The sequence below is a fragment of the Homo sapiens genome, chromosome 8, assembly GCF_000001405.40.
Source record: "Homo sapiens chromosome 8, GRCh38.p14 Primary Assembly".
NCBI classification, from domain to species: Eukaryota; Metazoa; Chordata; class Mammalia; order Primates; family Hominidae; genus Homo; species Homo sapiens.
In genome coordinates, this window is record NC_000008.11 from 53164768 (window position 1) to 53182356 (window position 17589).

Sequence of the window (17589 nt, forward strand, 5' to 3'; positions counted from 1 at the left end):
TCCATATTCATTTGGACCTTGCTATGGTCTGAAAATGGTTTGTTTCCACCAAAACTCATGTTTGAGGCTTGGTTCCCCAATGTGGTGGTGTTGGGAGGTGGATCTTTAAGAGGTGATTAGGTCATTAAGGATGGATTACTCTCTTCTCAGGAAACTGGGTTAGTTCTTAAGAGAACAGTTTATCCCTGTGAGAGCAAGGTGTTGTTAGGCGAGATTGTGTCCAGTGTCTGCTCTTTTCTGCACGTGCACACTTCCCCTTCCCCTTCACCATGCTGTGACGCTGAGCAGATGTTGACATCATGCTTCCTGGACTTTCCAGCCACCAGAATCATGAGATCATGAGCCAAATAAATCTCTTTTCTTTATAAATTACCCAGCCTTGGGTATTCTGTTACAGCAACACTAAATGGAATAAGACAGACCTTGTTCTCAGGAACTTCTCCAAACTGTGATTGCAAGTAGAAGCAGAGCCTGGAACTGTTAAAGAAAGCAGAACCAAAGCCTGGGAGACTTTAATCTCATAATAAAAGTTTAGTGTGATTTTTAATGGTATTTTCAAAAGATATTGCTGTCTAAAAGCAGAAATTAAGGGTTAAAGTTTGAAAATATGCCCTTTGCAGAGGAAATTCTTTGTCAGAGTTATTTGAGCTTAAGAAAAAAGCAATAGAAATTTAACAACTGGATGTATAGCCTCAAGACATAGTCAATTGTTACCTAACTGAAACCTTTTTTTCCCCTTCTAGCAACTCTCCATCAGTTAAATAAAATTTAAAAAAGAAGAAAGTTTAGAGAAATAGTTAACCGCTTTTAGAGTGGTTTGGGGAAACATTTATTTTCTGTAATACCTCTATAGGACCTCTGATAAAGTTCTTCATCTTTTATGTTTGTTTGTTTTACACAAGATGAATTTTAACAATGAAATAACATATTCCCCTGTTGAATGTCCCAAAGAACAAACCTCAAAATGTATTTAATTATTTCTCTACTTCCCTATTTTTTCAATTTTTTTCTGTCTGATGAAGTGATTTGTACACCATCTATTTATTAAAGATATTTGATATGTTTACAATAGTAAAACACAAATAAAAGAGGTCATACATGGTAGAAAGAGGAAAACTAATGTATATCCCTTTACCTTAGATCAATTAGAATTAAATTTAGATATATATTTTCTGATACCCAGGCAAACGGGTGACCATTGAATCACCTCTGCTTACTTGGAATTCCTTAAGAATAGGGAGCATGTTTTATTCATTGCTTTAACCCAGTGTCTGATCCAGCCAGGCACATAGCTTGTATTTGTTGAACAAGGGAATGAGTGAATGAATACATAAATAAAATGCATCTCTGATTCCTGTTTCTAAGACTGTCTCCAAGTTTTGACTTCTCCTAAGCTTTTAAAAACTCAGCAGACTGGATAACCAAACTCTAATGTTTGAGACATGAAAAATCAAAGGTGAATTGCAAGCTATCCAAAATTTAAAGAAAGAAATTTCTACCATGGCATGGTGTTAGAACTCTTTAGTTGATGTCAGGGTTACTTTGGGAAGTAACATTTATCTTCATAATCTCACCAATTCTGTCACATATATTTTAGACTCAGCAAAACAGGAGGATGAGCCTCTGTTCAATGGGAAAGTGTTTAATTTGCTGCAATTACACAGCTTTAAGATGGAGATATTTAAAATAATAAGGAATACCATTTACTAAGCTCCATCTATTTATGAGACACAGAGAAAAAAGGTTTATACTAATGGACTTATTTCATCCATATAGCAAACTTGAAAGTAGATATTATTATACCCATTTTAAAGATGAGGAAACTGAAGTCAAACAACTAGTAAGAACTTGAACTCAGGTCTATTCTAACGCAAAGTGTGTTTAGAGCCAAAACTAATGACACAGTTTCCTTGATTGAAAAATGTCGTTGACCAAATAAAACTTGATGCACAGATTGAAAAACAAACAATGAACAAACGAAAACTAGTTTTTTGTTAGTACAGCTAAGACTGTCAAGCCTTAGTCTAGTTGCTGTCTCAGCCAGTTCCCTTGCTGTTTAGTTGGTCCTATGGATGTGCCTATCATTTATTATTTGTATTAAGTAATCACTGTACTAAAGAAGATTATGAATACTAAAGAAAAGAAAGGAAAATGCTATTGACTCTGGGATTAATTGAATATCAGCATTTAGGAAAAAATAATCAAAATATTAAATGTATACACAAATAATGTTATTAATTCATAATAATATGCATTTAATCTTACAGTTAAGTAACTTCTCCTACAGAATCAGACAAATCAATGTCTAAACTTCCTTCACATTTAAAATGTAAAGGTCCTTTTGAATCAATTTTGGCCACTGGCAGTTAAACACAGCATTGCTATGATGTACTGATTTTCGTAACTTTTACTATTGGCCTTTTTGGCACTATTAAAGTTGTCAATATAATTTCTAGGCATATTTCAGATCACAAGGGTTTTATCTATAGTGTCTACTTTGTCAGACTCATAGTCATTTATAGAGTTGAGAGCATTAACTTTGGATTCATGAAAACTTGTATTTGAATCCAACATCTGCCATTGTGTGAGTTTGATCAACTTTCTTTTCAGTTATGATAGGTTACACTGTGCTTTGGTATCAAATTACACTTACATTTCAGTGGCTCACACAGCAGGGCTTTATTTTTTCCTCCAGCTGCATGTCCATTCCATGTTCACCACAGTGGTTTTGCCCATTTTGGGGGTTGGGAAGGCTTCTCAGAGCAACTGACACCCAAACCAAGACTGGAGGTGGAGTGGAGGATTGGGATGTGATGGGAGAAAAGCGTTTCAGGTAGAAAAACAATGTGAGCAAAGGTCTCAAAAGTTAGAGTTTGGAAATTGTGAAAACTAGTTTTGGAGGCTATAGAGTGACAAAGGCTGTATTAAGTTCTTGATTTATCAAATATTTCTGTGACCTCAACAAATTTACTTCAAACTCTCTGGGTCTCGGTTTCCTCATCAAATGGAGAGAATGATAGCAACATTTTAACATCAAATATCCAATGATTAATGAAGGCAATGCATGTGATAATTCCTAACTCATTGCTTGGAACATATTAAATGACAGTTTTTGTGTATTTTGCTTGCCAGAATGTGAAATTGTGCAGTCTATCAAATGTAAACATAATGAAAAATTCAGTGAATATTTCTCAACACCAACACTCTTGGGCCTCAAAAGGAGGTTAAAAATGGGATCTAGATGCTTTGTGTTTCCACATAAACAGTTGTAATTCAAAATGTTTTTGCTTTCCTTAATTTCACATTTTATTTTTTTCAACTAGGCAAACTTTTTCAGTATCTATATATGAACACTTCTCTGGGTCCTGCAGGAATATCAAATCAAGTAAGACAGTCTCTCAAGATCTGTAGATCTGACAGCATCTACAGCCTAATGGGAGAGATAATCCAAACCATACTGAATTTTCTAGCTATCTATTTGCTAAGTGGTTTCATCTATACACAGCTGTCCTGAAATAAATTCAGGGTTTTTTTTAGCCATCATAATGAATGTCTATTTGTAATTAATTGTTCTTGACCCATAAAGACAGATAATAAAAATAGATATATCCTAATTATTTTGTGTATTTCTCATTTTTTGATTTGCTGTTATAATTGAAATAAAATTTGATTGATTCAATTAAGATACTATGATGTCAATAAGACCACAATTAAATCAAATGGCTGATTTAATGACATCATATTCTTGGATTGATACAACCTTTCTATAAAATGAAAGTAGAGAGAGAAGACAGAATGGAAAACTTAAAATGTTGGGCATTTATATCAAATAAAAGTTCTTTTAATTTCAGGATATCGGTTACAGTTGGCAGCTGCAATAAATTACAACATCTGATAAGGAATGATAATGAGCTTTTCTCCCTTCTGTGTTCAGCTTTACAGAATAAGAAATGAAAGTCTTTTCATTAAAATGATTTTATTTTTTCTATATAATGCCCTTCTATTACTGTGTTGAAGAGATTTTTTTTTATTCAACAGTAAGTGGAAGAGCATGTGATTTTGAATGTACATTTTGGGCACTTTTGTGACGTACTAGACTTGGGATATCAATTAGTGAGGAGTTCTTTATGATTCTTATTTTAATTGTGAGGTATCACCTATAGAGTGATGTTTTCCACTCAGCAATTTAAAATAGGAATGTGGGCCAGTCAAAGTGGCTCATGCCGGTAACACTAACACTTTGGGAGGCCCCAGGGCAGGATGATTACTTAAGCCCAGGAGTTTGAAACCAGTCTGGGCAATATAGTGAGACCTTGTCTCTACAAAAAAATGAAAAAAATTAGCCAGGAGTGGTGGCCTGCCTTTACTCCCAGCTACTTGGGAGGTTGAGGTGGGAGAATGGCTTGAACCTGAGATGTTGAGCTGCAGTGAGCCATGATTATACCACTGCACTCCAGCCTGGGAGACAGACAAGACCTTGTCTCCAAAAATCTACATAAATTTAAAAAATTAAATAGGAATTGGAGGAATAATTTTCAACTTGAAGATAACCTACAAGAAATGAACTTTCATGTTTTGCCTCCTTTGCCCACAATTCTAAAATGCAGCACTAGGTAATGTAAAAGAGACCACTGGTTCTCACCTAATGGCCCAGTGCTCCTCTCCATTTTCCAGCCCTGGCACTGGGTGGAGTCATATCACTCATTCTTACCAGTGGAAAATGCCCATGGATGTCAAGAACAGTTACGCTTTCTTCTCTCTCTCCCTCTCTTTCTCTCAATCACATTTATAGAAATGAAGTTTTCTGGGTTTGGGAAAATGAAATATGGAGCTGCATGGGACCCTTAAACATTGCTTGGAGAAGAGCCACACAAGAGAGCCACTAGAACTGCACCTGCCAGTGATGCAAGCAAGGAAAGCACTGCTCCAGCAGTGGGTCCCAAGGCTGGGTTTATTTGTAGCAGCTGGCTCGTCTTGTGTCTTCCAATCCCCTGTGGCTAAGGTGAGAAATGCCCAGCAAGCACACAGCATGCCTTCCCCCTGAAGTTAGGCTGGGGACAGCAGCTGGGCTCTGCCAGTCCACGCAGGACAGATGTGTGGGCCACGTGGTCTAAGGACATTTTCCCTGGAGAATGTTGAAACCATTCCTATAAACTTTTTAAAATTAACCAGGAAACAGGGATGAGGAGAAATAAAAATAAACCCAGGTTGCAGCACATCAGCATTCGTCATGGGGTCAGCTGCTCTCTGACCCCTTCCTCACAGTTGTTTGGTCCCTATTGCCCCAGAATCATACAGACCCAGTCACAAGATTATAGCTCCCTTAACTGCTCTAGTTGTTATCTAACAACTTTGAGCATGGTCAAGCGTTAAGTTTTCCATTTGAGATTGTTCCTTCAGGTCCTGCATACTGATGAAACTACAGACTCAGCCGATGTGACGGAACCCACTGATGCTAGCTGGTCTCACAAGGAGCTGACTCATCAAAGAATGCGGTTTCCATAAGATGATGATTTCATCCCCCTGCCCCAACCAATCAAAGACCCCAATTTTCCAGTACCTCTCCATCCATGACCCCCTTAAAAATCCCATCCCAGAACTCCTTGGTTAGATGGATTTGAAGATCTCCTCCCACATCCGCACTTGACCAACCTGCGATTATTAAGCTCTTTCTCTGCTGCAAACCCTGATGGTCTGTTCCTGTACAGCAGGCATTTGAACCTGGTGGTCCTGTAACAATGTGAGTTGGTGAGGAGCTCTGTAATAGCTTCACTGCCACAATCAAGTACCAACCATTCTTTCCCTACAGTGCAACTCAGGATCATTGGAGACATTTCAAATAGGATAAGAGTGCATCGTGTAATATAGATGAGTTACATGTGGAACATCTCTATCTGAGAACTAATTTCCATTAGATCATGTGACCTTCTATGATAGTTAATTTTATGTGTCAATTTGACTGGGCCATGGGCTGCTCAGATCCCTGGTTAAACAGAATGTATGGATGTGTCTGTGAGCATGTTTCTGGAAGAGATTAGCATTTGAATTGGTGGACTGAGTAAAGCAGATGGCCCTCCCCAGTGTCAGCAGACATCATCCCATCCATGGAGGACCCCAATGGAACAAAAGTCTAGAGGAAGGTTGAACTCTCTCTCTGCCTGACTGCTTGAGCTGAGATGGCATCACTCTTCTCCTGCCCTTGGACTGACACTTACATTATCACACTTACAGTTGTCAGGCCTTTGGACTGGGATTGGAACCACACCACCACCTTTCCTTGGTCTCTGGTTTGTAGACCACAGATTGTGGAACTTTTCAGCCTCTGTAATTGCATGAGCCAATACCTTATAATAAATATCATTCTATGTATTTTCTATTGTTTCTGTTTCTCTGGAGAACCCTGACTAATACAACTTAAGAAAATAATTTCACTGTATTCTCAAAATAGTTAGAATCCTGAAACAATGCAGATACAGTCTCTAACCTGTACTCCTATGAGAAATAATATAGGGCATATGGGTAAACATAGATTTTGTTGAGAGTAATAAAATCAATATAGTATAATCATATCTGATTAATATTGTAGCCATGTATGCAGGGTACTATGTGATGCTGCTCTATGGGGCAATACAAAAATCATAGGTGAAAGTAATATTGTAGAAGCAAATAAAACTTTTAATGGTATAGATGTTGATGATCAAATACATTGGTAAATCAATCACAGTTCCCTCAAGGTATTAGCTCTCTGGAGGAGAATTCTGAAGAAGTTTTAGACTTGATTAATGATAAATTAATTATGGTTCTCAATCACTGCATAGATGTGTATCATCAAGTCCAGATAGCTATAGATCACAGAGGTAAAAGAAGTGCAAAGTGAGTACAGAAACCTGAGAAAGTTTGCATTGCTATTATTGGATGCTGCAGCTGCCTGTCTAGAAGTCTAGACCAACCCCTCACTGCTTACTTAAAATGCTTAGAATGTGTGCATTTTGATTGTTTATCTGATTATACATTATTGCAAGGCCAATAATGGCCATCAAACTATGAGTGATTGTTTTGCATAAGCAGGCCTTGACCACAAGTCGGGGTGGTGAGCTATGCAGGGGGGTTTACTCCAGCAGGCCTGGGCTTGGCTTGAGCTGTTTTGCTAAGTGAGAGAATTGTCTTTACACACTGACCCCTTGTCAAGAAATGAAATCTGCTAGTCAGCAGTGTGGCCATGGGTCCAAGACAAGTCTCTGGTGGTTTACGCCAGACTGTCAACATTGTTGATTGAGTAAAGTGAGTCTAGGTCACTTTCCTCAAAGAATCTGCCATTGGGGCTTGGCTGCATAGCAAGAATATGCCTATAAGACCAGCTGGGGATAAGAAGCTCTGCTCAAGACTCTTATTTTGGGGTCCCTTGTTCTGTAGTGTTCTGGGTACACGTTGGTATATGTTGGTTTTTGATCTGAGAGAAGAGGCCTGTGCTGGTGTGACTCTTTAGAGAGAGGGCACTGAGGACTTGCTCTTTCTGCTCCCCAGACCCCTTGCTGTACAGCAGGCAGCCTCTGGCTGCAGTGCATGTCCTCACTTTAATGGTATTCCTGTGTTGAATCATTTGCCAACAATAATTGAATATTTTGTAAGCGTGGCCATTGTGGATCCTGTGAATATTCTTTCGTGGTTGAATCCTGTCTAACTCCCACCGTTAGTGCTGTTTCTGTTTCCCCACAGAGACAGAAACAGTGCCTGACCAGTGGGACGCATCCACTAAATGTGAAATGACTGAAATACCTATGTACCCTTCCTTGGTGGGGAAAGAAGCCAGAGTGATTTAAATAAATAGTGACCAATATAATTAAGTTACATTAGTTACCCAATAAAATCAAGTTTTTCATCTCCAAAGACAAATCTAACCACTAATAGAGAGAAAGAAAAACTGGAAGGTCTGTTTGTAGATCTTGGTTCATCATTAGACCTTAATAGCTGATACTTACAGAACTGATATTTACTGAGCACCTACTCTGTGCCAGGCACAGGGCCAAATGCTTAATATTTATTTGTTCATTCATCCATTCATTTATTCAACAGATATTTGTTGAGCACTTCCCTGATGGCAGTAATGTTTTAGATGCTGGGGATTCACCTGATCTATTTATCTCAGCTACCCTGTGGGTTGGGTTCACATTCTCATTTTACAGATAAAAAAACTGAGCTTTATTGAAGTTAACTTGAATCAGATTGTTATCATAGAACAATTTCAGGAATCTAGTCCTATCCCTGAGTCTCTTAGACTTTCAAACTATGCTTGGTTTCCATAAGACACAGAACCCTCCCCTGTGAAATAGGATAATGTTCTCCCACCTACCTCAACAGGGAAGCAGCTTAAGACCAAATGGGATGACGTAGACCACAGTGCTTTTCAAGCCATCAAGTGCCATATAAATTTATTGTTATTATGTGCCTAAGGAGTATCTTTGCAACACAAAATTAGTAACATATTTTAAAATTTTTCTCATTGTTTACTTTTCCTGTTTAAGAATCAGAGGTAGTTTGAAGAAAGTAGCACAAAGATGCTTTTTTAAGAGTAGTTTCAAGCCCCATAGCCAAAGACTTTATTCCTTCACAGTGGATGGTGGCACAGCTACAGAGACATGTCAAGGGCAGCTTTTCTCCCAACACACAGAAGATCACAGCTCTTGAATCAGACTTTGTTCATTACCCATGCAGTTTGATTTTGCATTTTGACCTTAAAAATCATGAGTCATGGTGATAGGTTTTAACCAGTATGACTCTGCCTGAAGGCAGAAAAATGGATTAATGACCTTCTGAATCCTACCCTCTTAGACTGAGAATTATGTTTTCTGTAAACGCTTTCAGAACTAATTATAGAAGAACATCCACCAAGACTAAAAATTTGTTTCAAAATGAAAAATAACTGCACCCACAGTTTAGGTACTAAAAGATTTCTTTTGACTGTTTCTGCAAAATACTGACTTTAGGCAAGAAATGGTAAACAATTTTTTTAATTTAAAATAAAATTTCCAAGTTACACAGCAGCTTGAAGTCTATACAATAGCAATTACCGTGTAATTAAAAGTCAGATGGTCTCTGGTTATAAATGTCATGAAAAAGACTACCTGTCTGATGGATTGTTTTTAGGAGCCATCACTAAGCACTGGATATGGATAAACAGCCTTGAGTTACAAAAAAAAAAAAATCCTCTCATCAGGACACCACTTAATTAAAGAAGCAGAATGTATTGTTTTCAAAATATTCCAGGCCTTTGCATGAAGTTTCAGAAATCTGGCTACAGAAGAAAGGAATAAAATATTTAGAAGAGAGCTGTTAGTCATCCATGAGATGGAGGTTCTGCAGGCCCATTTTTTTGCACTGGATTTTTCAAACTCTTGCCACCAATGAGCTGTTGAGAAAGTGGGCATTCTTTGTGCACCTAGTAGGGATTCAGACACAGTAGCAGGGATTACCTGCTATACCTGATCGTATGGGTTGACTTGTTCTCTCCCAAAAACAACTTAAAGCCTGTCATCCAGAAGACCACTAGGATGGCTAAACAGTAGGAAGGAGAGCTTTTATTGGTCATATCAGTTTGCAAGTGGGAAAAGAAAGTCTCCAGCATGGACCAAAGGTGCTCTCTCTTTGAAGAGAGGGAGGACAGGTTGCGTTTTTATGCCTCACAAAGTCCATATGACACAACAGAGTTCTACATATTCACCAGGTTTTGGGGAAATGCTAGACATAGTTTTGAGGGGAGCCAAGCCCATGTACAATGGGCAAACATGTATGTAACATACATTCCATGTTCACTTTGGGGTGGGCATTGAAATGAGATGGATTTTTCCTGTTTACATCAAAAGGTGAACTACAGGACACAGAGACAGTTTATGCACAGCCTCTGTGAGCTGCTAAAGCTGCAGTAGCTTATCAGGAAAGAAAGCATGTTGGTAAGGCAAGTCCTCTGTCCAGTCCCCATTGAGGTGGTCTGGATTATAAGTCGGAGTTAGGATAATTTGCCTGATAGCTCCCATTGTTAGGGAGTTTAGCAAAATGTGTTTTTTTCTGGTAGGAATTTGCCATGTCAGCCAGGCCCGAACCCTTGACTCATAGGTAACTTTGTTTCCTTAACATTTTGGTTCATCTTAGTTGGTAAAAGGCATCTATTTTCATCTCTCAGATCACATGTCCTAACGCCTAGATGACTAAGGTTCACTCAGAATGTGACCTTATTTGGAAATAGGGTCTTTACAGAGGTAATCGAGTAAAATGAGGTCATTAGGTCAGGTCCTAATCTAATATGACTGTGACCTTAAGAAAAAGGGGGTTACTGAGACACAGAGACAGTCATGCACAGAAGGAAGACAGTATGAAGAGACACAGGAGGATGCCGTGGGAAGACGGGAGCCACGCTGCAGAGACACAGAAGGATGTCATGTTGGGGCCAGAATCATGCTGCTGTAGTCTGATGAAGATCTGAGGCTTCCAAAGCCGGAAGAGGCAAGGAAGAGTCCTTCTCTTACAGGTTTCAGAGGTAGCATGACCTTGCTGACACCCAGAGCCTCCAGAACCACGAAGCAATACATTTCTGCTTTTTTAAGACACACAGTTGATGGTACTTTGTGATGGCAGCCCTAACAAATGAATATAATAATCTTTCTAAAGGAATCAATTTTGTTTAGTCATTAAGAGGATGGGCTTCCAAGTCAGTCAGTCAGCCAGTCATTCAGCCAATATTTTCTGAGCTCTCTGCCTTAGGCACTGAGACTACAGACAATGAAGACAGGCTGGGTCCACTTTTCACACAGCTCACATCAAGCAGAGGAAGGCAGATAATGAACAAGCAGAACAGAATATAAAGTGAGTTCAGAATTGGTAAGTGATACCAAGAAACAAAATGGGACACTAGTTAAAAAGAGTTATAGTTGAGATTTTAAAGGGTGTCATGAAATGCCTCTCTGAAAAGGTAATTTGAGCAGAGATGCAAAGGGTAAAAAAGGAAATAGTCATGTGAATACCTGGCAAAAGAAAATTCTGTGTAGCAGGAACACATCTGCTATATTCCAGCAATGGACAGAGGAAGAATCTAGCAGGAGAGTCCTGAATTCAGGAGACCATGATAGGAGATGATGTTTGAATGGCTTGTGAAACCAGGTGAGTCATGGTGGAGAATCTGGATTTTAGACTATAGCTAAAAGAAAATCACTGGAGTCTTTTAAGTACAGAGTCCATGTGACCTGTTTACATTAAAACATTTCTAATTGAAGTATTATTTTTATACTTCAATTTTATTCCCATTTATTTTTAATGGGAATGAAGATTGGAAGCAGGACAAGCAGCAACTTAGATGAGAGAGGGGATTGGCTCTGGCTAGTGTGGTAGTGAGGAGGGGTAATCAATTTATTTCCAATTTTTTTTGTCTTTTTTTTCCTTTTTGTGGCAACAAGGTCTCTCTATATTGCCCTGGCTGGTCTAGAACTCCTGGGATCAAGCTAGTCTCCCACTTCTGCCTTCCTAAGTGCTGGGATTACACAGGCATGAGACACCATGCCTGGCCACTGTGATCAATTTAGGATTGAGTTTGGATGCAGGATTGGCTGATAAATTCAATTCAGTGCAGCTGGTGAGGGTAAATAAAAGAAGGAATCAAAGATGATTCTTTATGTTCTGATGTGCAACTCAGTGGTGATGCCATTAAAGGGGATGAGAAGGAGGAGGGTTGATGGTAGAGAGAGATAGTGGAGTCAAGATTTTCATTTTGCACATGTTTAATTTATGAAGTCTGTTAACACATTTGTACAGAACTGTGGAGTATGCAGTTGTCAGAAACTTATGGGAGAGATTAGTGCTGAAGATATGACTTTGGAAATGATCTACAAATAGAAAAACGAAAGAAAGGGAAGGGTCAAAGATTATGTCATGGACTATGCCATCACATAGAGGTTGCAGAAGAGGAGAAACAAGTAAAAGAAGATGTAGTGAGCTTGGGGATTTAGTGGCTGACTAAGGAAAAAAGAAGAACATGACAGCAGTATTGCACAGAAAGCTTTCTTGGTGCAACATGGACAGATTTACAAGAGAGGGGAAGTCCCTTCCAGCAGGAAATAGCGTAAGACACCACACGGAGTGGGAGAGGAGTGTCGGAGAGGAGACTTACAAGACCAGGTGATGTAGCTCAACAGCAAGATGGGGACCCTGTGTCAGGGAGCTGAGAAGGACAGCAGAGGCTTCAGGTCTTTTATAGCCACAGAGTTTGTCTTACCTATGACGAGCAGATATTGAGTGCAATTTTGTAGAGTATGCCAAGCAAGCAGGCTCTAAATCATAAAAAATATACTTATTTGAGCAATTGGATGTGTAAGAATTATTTGAGTTTGGCATCAGTGGTCCTTGAGCCAAAGGTCCTTGCCTGCTGTGAGGAAGTAAACATAGAGAACAGCACAGGGGGATGTTAGGTACAGTAAGTTCCTCTTCAAAGAGTCAGCTTGTTCAGCTTCTTTGTTCTTTGTTCTCTATTTCAAAGCCTAACTTCCTCGTTCTTTGTACCTCCTTGCCCCTAGTTACATTTATCTATAACCCACATCTGTTCCCTTGGTTACCCACTCTACAACTGCCCTTCCTGCTGAAACTATTCTACCCACCAAAACCACTCCTCCTACCACTGTAACCCACATCCCTGCTCTATTTGAAATAGCCAATTGGGATTAGCTTAGATTGTGCCATCCGGCTCCAGCCAATGGGAACAGGACACAGAAGCAAGGACTAACCTCTTTAGGGATAAAAACCCCTTCCCTCGTTTGTTCGGTGTGTTCTGGCAGTGGCCAGGAGGGCAAGTGGCACCCTTCTGTGGAAGTAAATTTGCCTTGCTGAGAAATTCTTTGTTTGAGTGCTCATTTTCCTTGCGACTCCAAGCTCTTATTTCCAACAGGGAAATCTTTGACCTGTTTATGTAACAAAGGATGAGATAGAAAGACAGAAATGCTCAAGGATGGAAAGAAAAGTGAGTGAGCAAGAGAGATTAAGAGACAGAGAGTCAGAGTGTAACTTGGAAAAGTGGTGAAGAAAATCTCAGGAAAAAAGGAGCACTCCACGACTGCTGAGGGTTCAAGAAGAGGACAGAGAATTGATGCTGTATGTGCCTGAACAAGACAATTGACAACCTTGTTGAGAGCAGTTTCAGTGGAATAGTCAGGGAGAGAAAACCTGGATTGGAGCATGCTAAGGAATGGAAGTAGAGATGTGAGTATCTACAAATCTTCCAAGGAAGACTTTCTAACTGTTTTAAGGTATGTTGTCTGAAGAAAAGCAGAGATGTGGGCTAGTTGCTCTACAACAGTGGCAGACTTGAGAGTGCTTTTAAAACCTTTTTAAGGAGAACCATTACAGCATGCTGGTTTGGTGTTGGGGGCAAAGAGAACATCCTTTCCTTGGTTTCAGGTTTCCCTGTGAAGGGACCTTCACCAGAGGGAACTTTTGGCCTTTTGTAAGCCCTTTGCTCCTCACAATGGAGAATGAGTTAACTCGTCTTAGTGGAAACACATTGGTCCTGTTTCTCAAGCTGATGGAGTTGATCTATTAAAAGTTTGCAACACTAGGATTTCTTTTTCCCTTTTTTTCTTTCAGTGCCAGACTAGGATGAGACAGCCATCCTGGATAAGTGTTCCTACTCTAGACCTAAACTTTTCTTTAGGAAGGCTTTCCTAAGGTCTAAACTGGATCAGGAAGCAAAGAGTGTCAGCAAGCCCTTTGGCCAACAATTTAAAGATTCTCTACAGTGGATTTTCAGTAAGAATGATGAAAATCTTATTTCTATTACCCTATTTCAATCAAGTCTATCTCAATAGATTCCATACTTGGATCCATATAAAATATAAATATGTTGTGTATTGACCTGCTAAAAATGTACAAATTGGATATTGGCAAGAATGATTTGGTAGAATGGAAAGTAAATGTTGGGGATATGGGAAGGAGAATTGTAACTGGAGGAACCAAGACAATGAGTAGGCTGGACCTGCAGTATTGTATGTCCACTGAAACAGAAGAGAAAGTGGAATAGAGGGGTGCAGAGGCAGATAGAGCAGGGAGAGAGACTTGGGTTGAAATCTTGACTCCACAATTTAGCAAGCTAGATGGCTTTGGGAATCTTTCTTAATCTCTCTTTTATTTCTATTTGTAAAATGGGAATAGTAATACTTACCATAAATTTGTTGTGAAGCATACATGAGCTTTCAAATGCAAAATTCTTAGCAAAGGATCTGGTCCCTTATAATTGGTAAATAAATGATGATAATATCTGTAGTAATGTATCCGTAATAATAAGTGTATACATCAGGCAAGATGAAGTATAGAAAAGTGTGTGGGAATATATAGACATCCTTCTGGTGTCTAGCAAAGTTGTTAAATTTGTAGTTTGCACATCCATAAAGCCAGAGGAATTTTCTAGAGATTTCGATATAAATAACTTTTCATGTCTTTCTTCAGTGAAAAAATCTTTTTGGTGTTTGGTGTTCAAAAAGTCTTTTTGGCATTCACTTCGGGCAGGATGAAAACTGTTCTTGCTCTTAGAAACTGAGCAACCTGGAACAGATGATTGGCCTGTTTCATACTTTTAGTTCCAGGAAAATTTAACTTCACTTGAAAATGGAAAAGTTTGTGGAAAAGTCTGAGAGCAGCTTTTTATCACAGAGTGTTTGTAGAGAGTCTGAGAACAGATACATTTTGTTTCTCCTGATTCTCTCCTTATTGATCACGCAGTTTAGACAAAAGTCCTTATCAAAGTTTCTATTAAATTGTAATGATTTTCTTCAACAATATGCAATGAAGAACTGAAGGAGAGCTTCATGAGAGCTCGGTGCCTATTAGTCCACACTCCTTCTCTACTAGTGAGGCATCCCATATCAGAGATATTAATAACATTGTCTGCCAGTTCCTTTTAAGGGAGGACACTACCCTAAGGTAAAAGGTAAAATTTATAAAATACATATATTAAGGCATTCAGTTTCATTGACACACACACACAATCTGGTGTATTTCCTGTACCATGGAGTGTTCCCTTACACCCCTTGGAAGTTAATCCCCTTTACTCCTCCTCCCCAACTACCAGGCAAATACTTTCTGATTCTATCTCCATCTATTTGTTTTGCCTGTGTTTGGATTTGGTGATATGGAATGATGAAGTATATATTCTTTGTATAAGACTTTTTTTTCCACTCCACAGAATGTTTTTGAAATTAATGTTATTTCTGATATCCACAACCTATTCCTTTTTATTGCTTATTGGCTGGCTGAAATATTATTCTTTTGTAAACTGTCTGCCCAAGTCTTTTGTCAATTACCTTATTTATTTTTTACTGGTAATCTTTAGAAGTTATTTACATATTTTGGACACAAATTTTTATCAGATATAAATATTGTGAATATATTTTCAGAGTGAGTGGCTTGTGTATTTATTACTTTGATGGTACATTTTGATAACCACAAATTTAAAATTGTATCAAGTCTGACTTATCAATTATTTATTATAATACTAGAGAATTTGGGTCTAGTGTAAGTAATCTTTGTCTACCCTGAGAGTGAGAAGATATTGTCTGTGTTTTCTTTGAAAAGTTATATGGTTCTAACTTTCAACATTATGCCTACGATACAACTCTATTCAGCTTTATGAATGGAACGAGGTATGGTTCAAGGTATATATAGATATTTAAATCAGGTTTATTATGGTATAGTTTACATGAAATAAAATTCATCATTTTGAAGTATACTTGATAAGTTTTGACAAAAGGGTACAATTCTGTAACTTCTACCACAATTGAGGTACAGAACATATTTATCAACTCAAAGTTTTCTAGTGCTCCTTTTCAATCAATTGCTTTTATTTCAAATGCTGATGTGTCTCTGTCCCTTTAGTTTTGCTCTTTCTACAATGTCATATAAATGAAATCATACAACATATAGTCTTTTCTGTCTGATTTCTTTCATGTACCACAATGCATTTGACATTCCTTCATACCATTGCATGGATCAGCAGTTCATTCTTTTTATTGCTGAGTAGAATTTGAATGCATGGGTTTACCACAATTTTTTTTATTCATTCACCAATTGATGGATATTTGGGTTGCTTTTAATTTTTGCCTATTGTGAATGAGCTTCTATGAACATTTGTGTGTGGGTCTTTTGTGGATTTATGTTTCCATTTCTCTACATGAATCATATGGAAATTGTATGTTACATTAATAAGAAACTGGCCAGCTGTTTTCCAAAAGTGACTGCATCATTTTGCCTTTCTATCAGCAATATATGAGAGTTACTCACATCATCCCTGATACTTGGTATTTCTTAGTCTTTTTAAATGTTAGCCATTCTAGTAGGTATGCAGTGATATCTCACTGTGGCTGTAATTTGCATTCTAATAATGAGTATCTTTTTATGTATTTATTGGCCATTTGTATAGCTCCTTCAGTGAAATCTCTGTACAAATATTATTTTTAAATTCTACTTGGATTGTCATCTTATTATTGAGTTAGAAGAATTCTTTACATAATTTGGATGTGTGTTTTATCAGTTATGTATTTTGTAAATATTTTTGCCCAATCTCTGTGCGTGTATTTTTTATTATGAATGAGTGTTGAAGTTTGTCAAATCCCTTTTTAGTGCATTAAATGGAATAATCATGTGCTTTTTCCTTTCTATCCTGCTGAAATGGTAACTCACATTGTTTGATTTTTGAATATTGAACAAACTTTGCATTCTTGGGATAAGCATTATCACTTGATAAAATAATATTTGCATACATTGCTGGATTCTATTTGCTAGAATTTTGTTGAAGATTTTACATCTACGTTCATGAAGGCTACTGGCCTATAGTTTAATTTTCTTATAATGTCTTTTTCTGGTTTCAGTATCAGTGTGATGCTACCTTCATAAAATAATTTAAGTACTATTTACTTCCCTTCTATTTTCTGGAAGATTTTGTGTAGGATCAGTATTATTTCTTCCTTAAATGTTTGGTAGAATTTATCAATGAAGTCATCTTGTCAGGAGTTTTCTTTGAGAGAAGGTTTTTAACTACAAACTAAATTTAATAATACGGACTGTTCCGGTTACCTATTTCTTCACATGTGAGCTTTAGTACTTTGTGTCTTTCAAAAAAATGTATTCTTTTCATCTAAGCTACAGAATACATTGACATAAAGTTGATTGTAGGATTCCTTTGTTATCTTTTAATGTCCATAGAATCTAAAATGGGATATCTTTCTTCCAGGTAGGGTAATTTGAGTCCTCTCTTTTTTCCTTTCTGGCTAGAGGTTTATAATTTTATTGATCACATCAGTGAATCAGTTTTTAATGTCATTTATTTCCTCTAGTGCTTCTTTCACTTTTCCATTTCATTGATTTCTACTCTTTGTCATTCTTCTTTTTCTGCTTATTTTGGGATTAATTTTTCTAGTTTCTTAAGACAATAGCTTAAATTAAAGGTTGACAAATTACAGCCTGTGGCATATTTCTATCTAATCTCTTAGCTAAGAATGAATTCTATATTTTAAACTGTTGTAAAATTATAAAAAGTAAAGCCAAGTAATATTCAATAATATT

General features: G+C 37.7%; 1 long non-coding RNA gene across 1 annotated transcript in view; it reads left to right on the plus strand.

Moving 5' to 3' along the window:
- Positions 1-12803: 12803 nt before the first annotated feature.
- Positions 12804-17589, plus strand: part of LOC105375836 (uncharacterized) — a 52683-nt gene continuing 47897 nt past the window's right edge. The window contains exon 1 of the long non-coding RNA NR_188096.1: positions 12804-13236. This is a non-coding gene — a long non-coding RNA (uncharacterized LOC105375836). The remainder of the gene's footprint in view (positions 13237-17589) is intronic.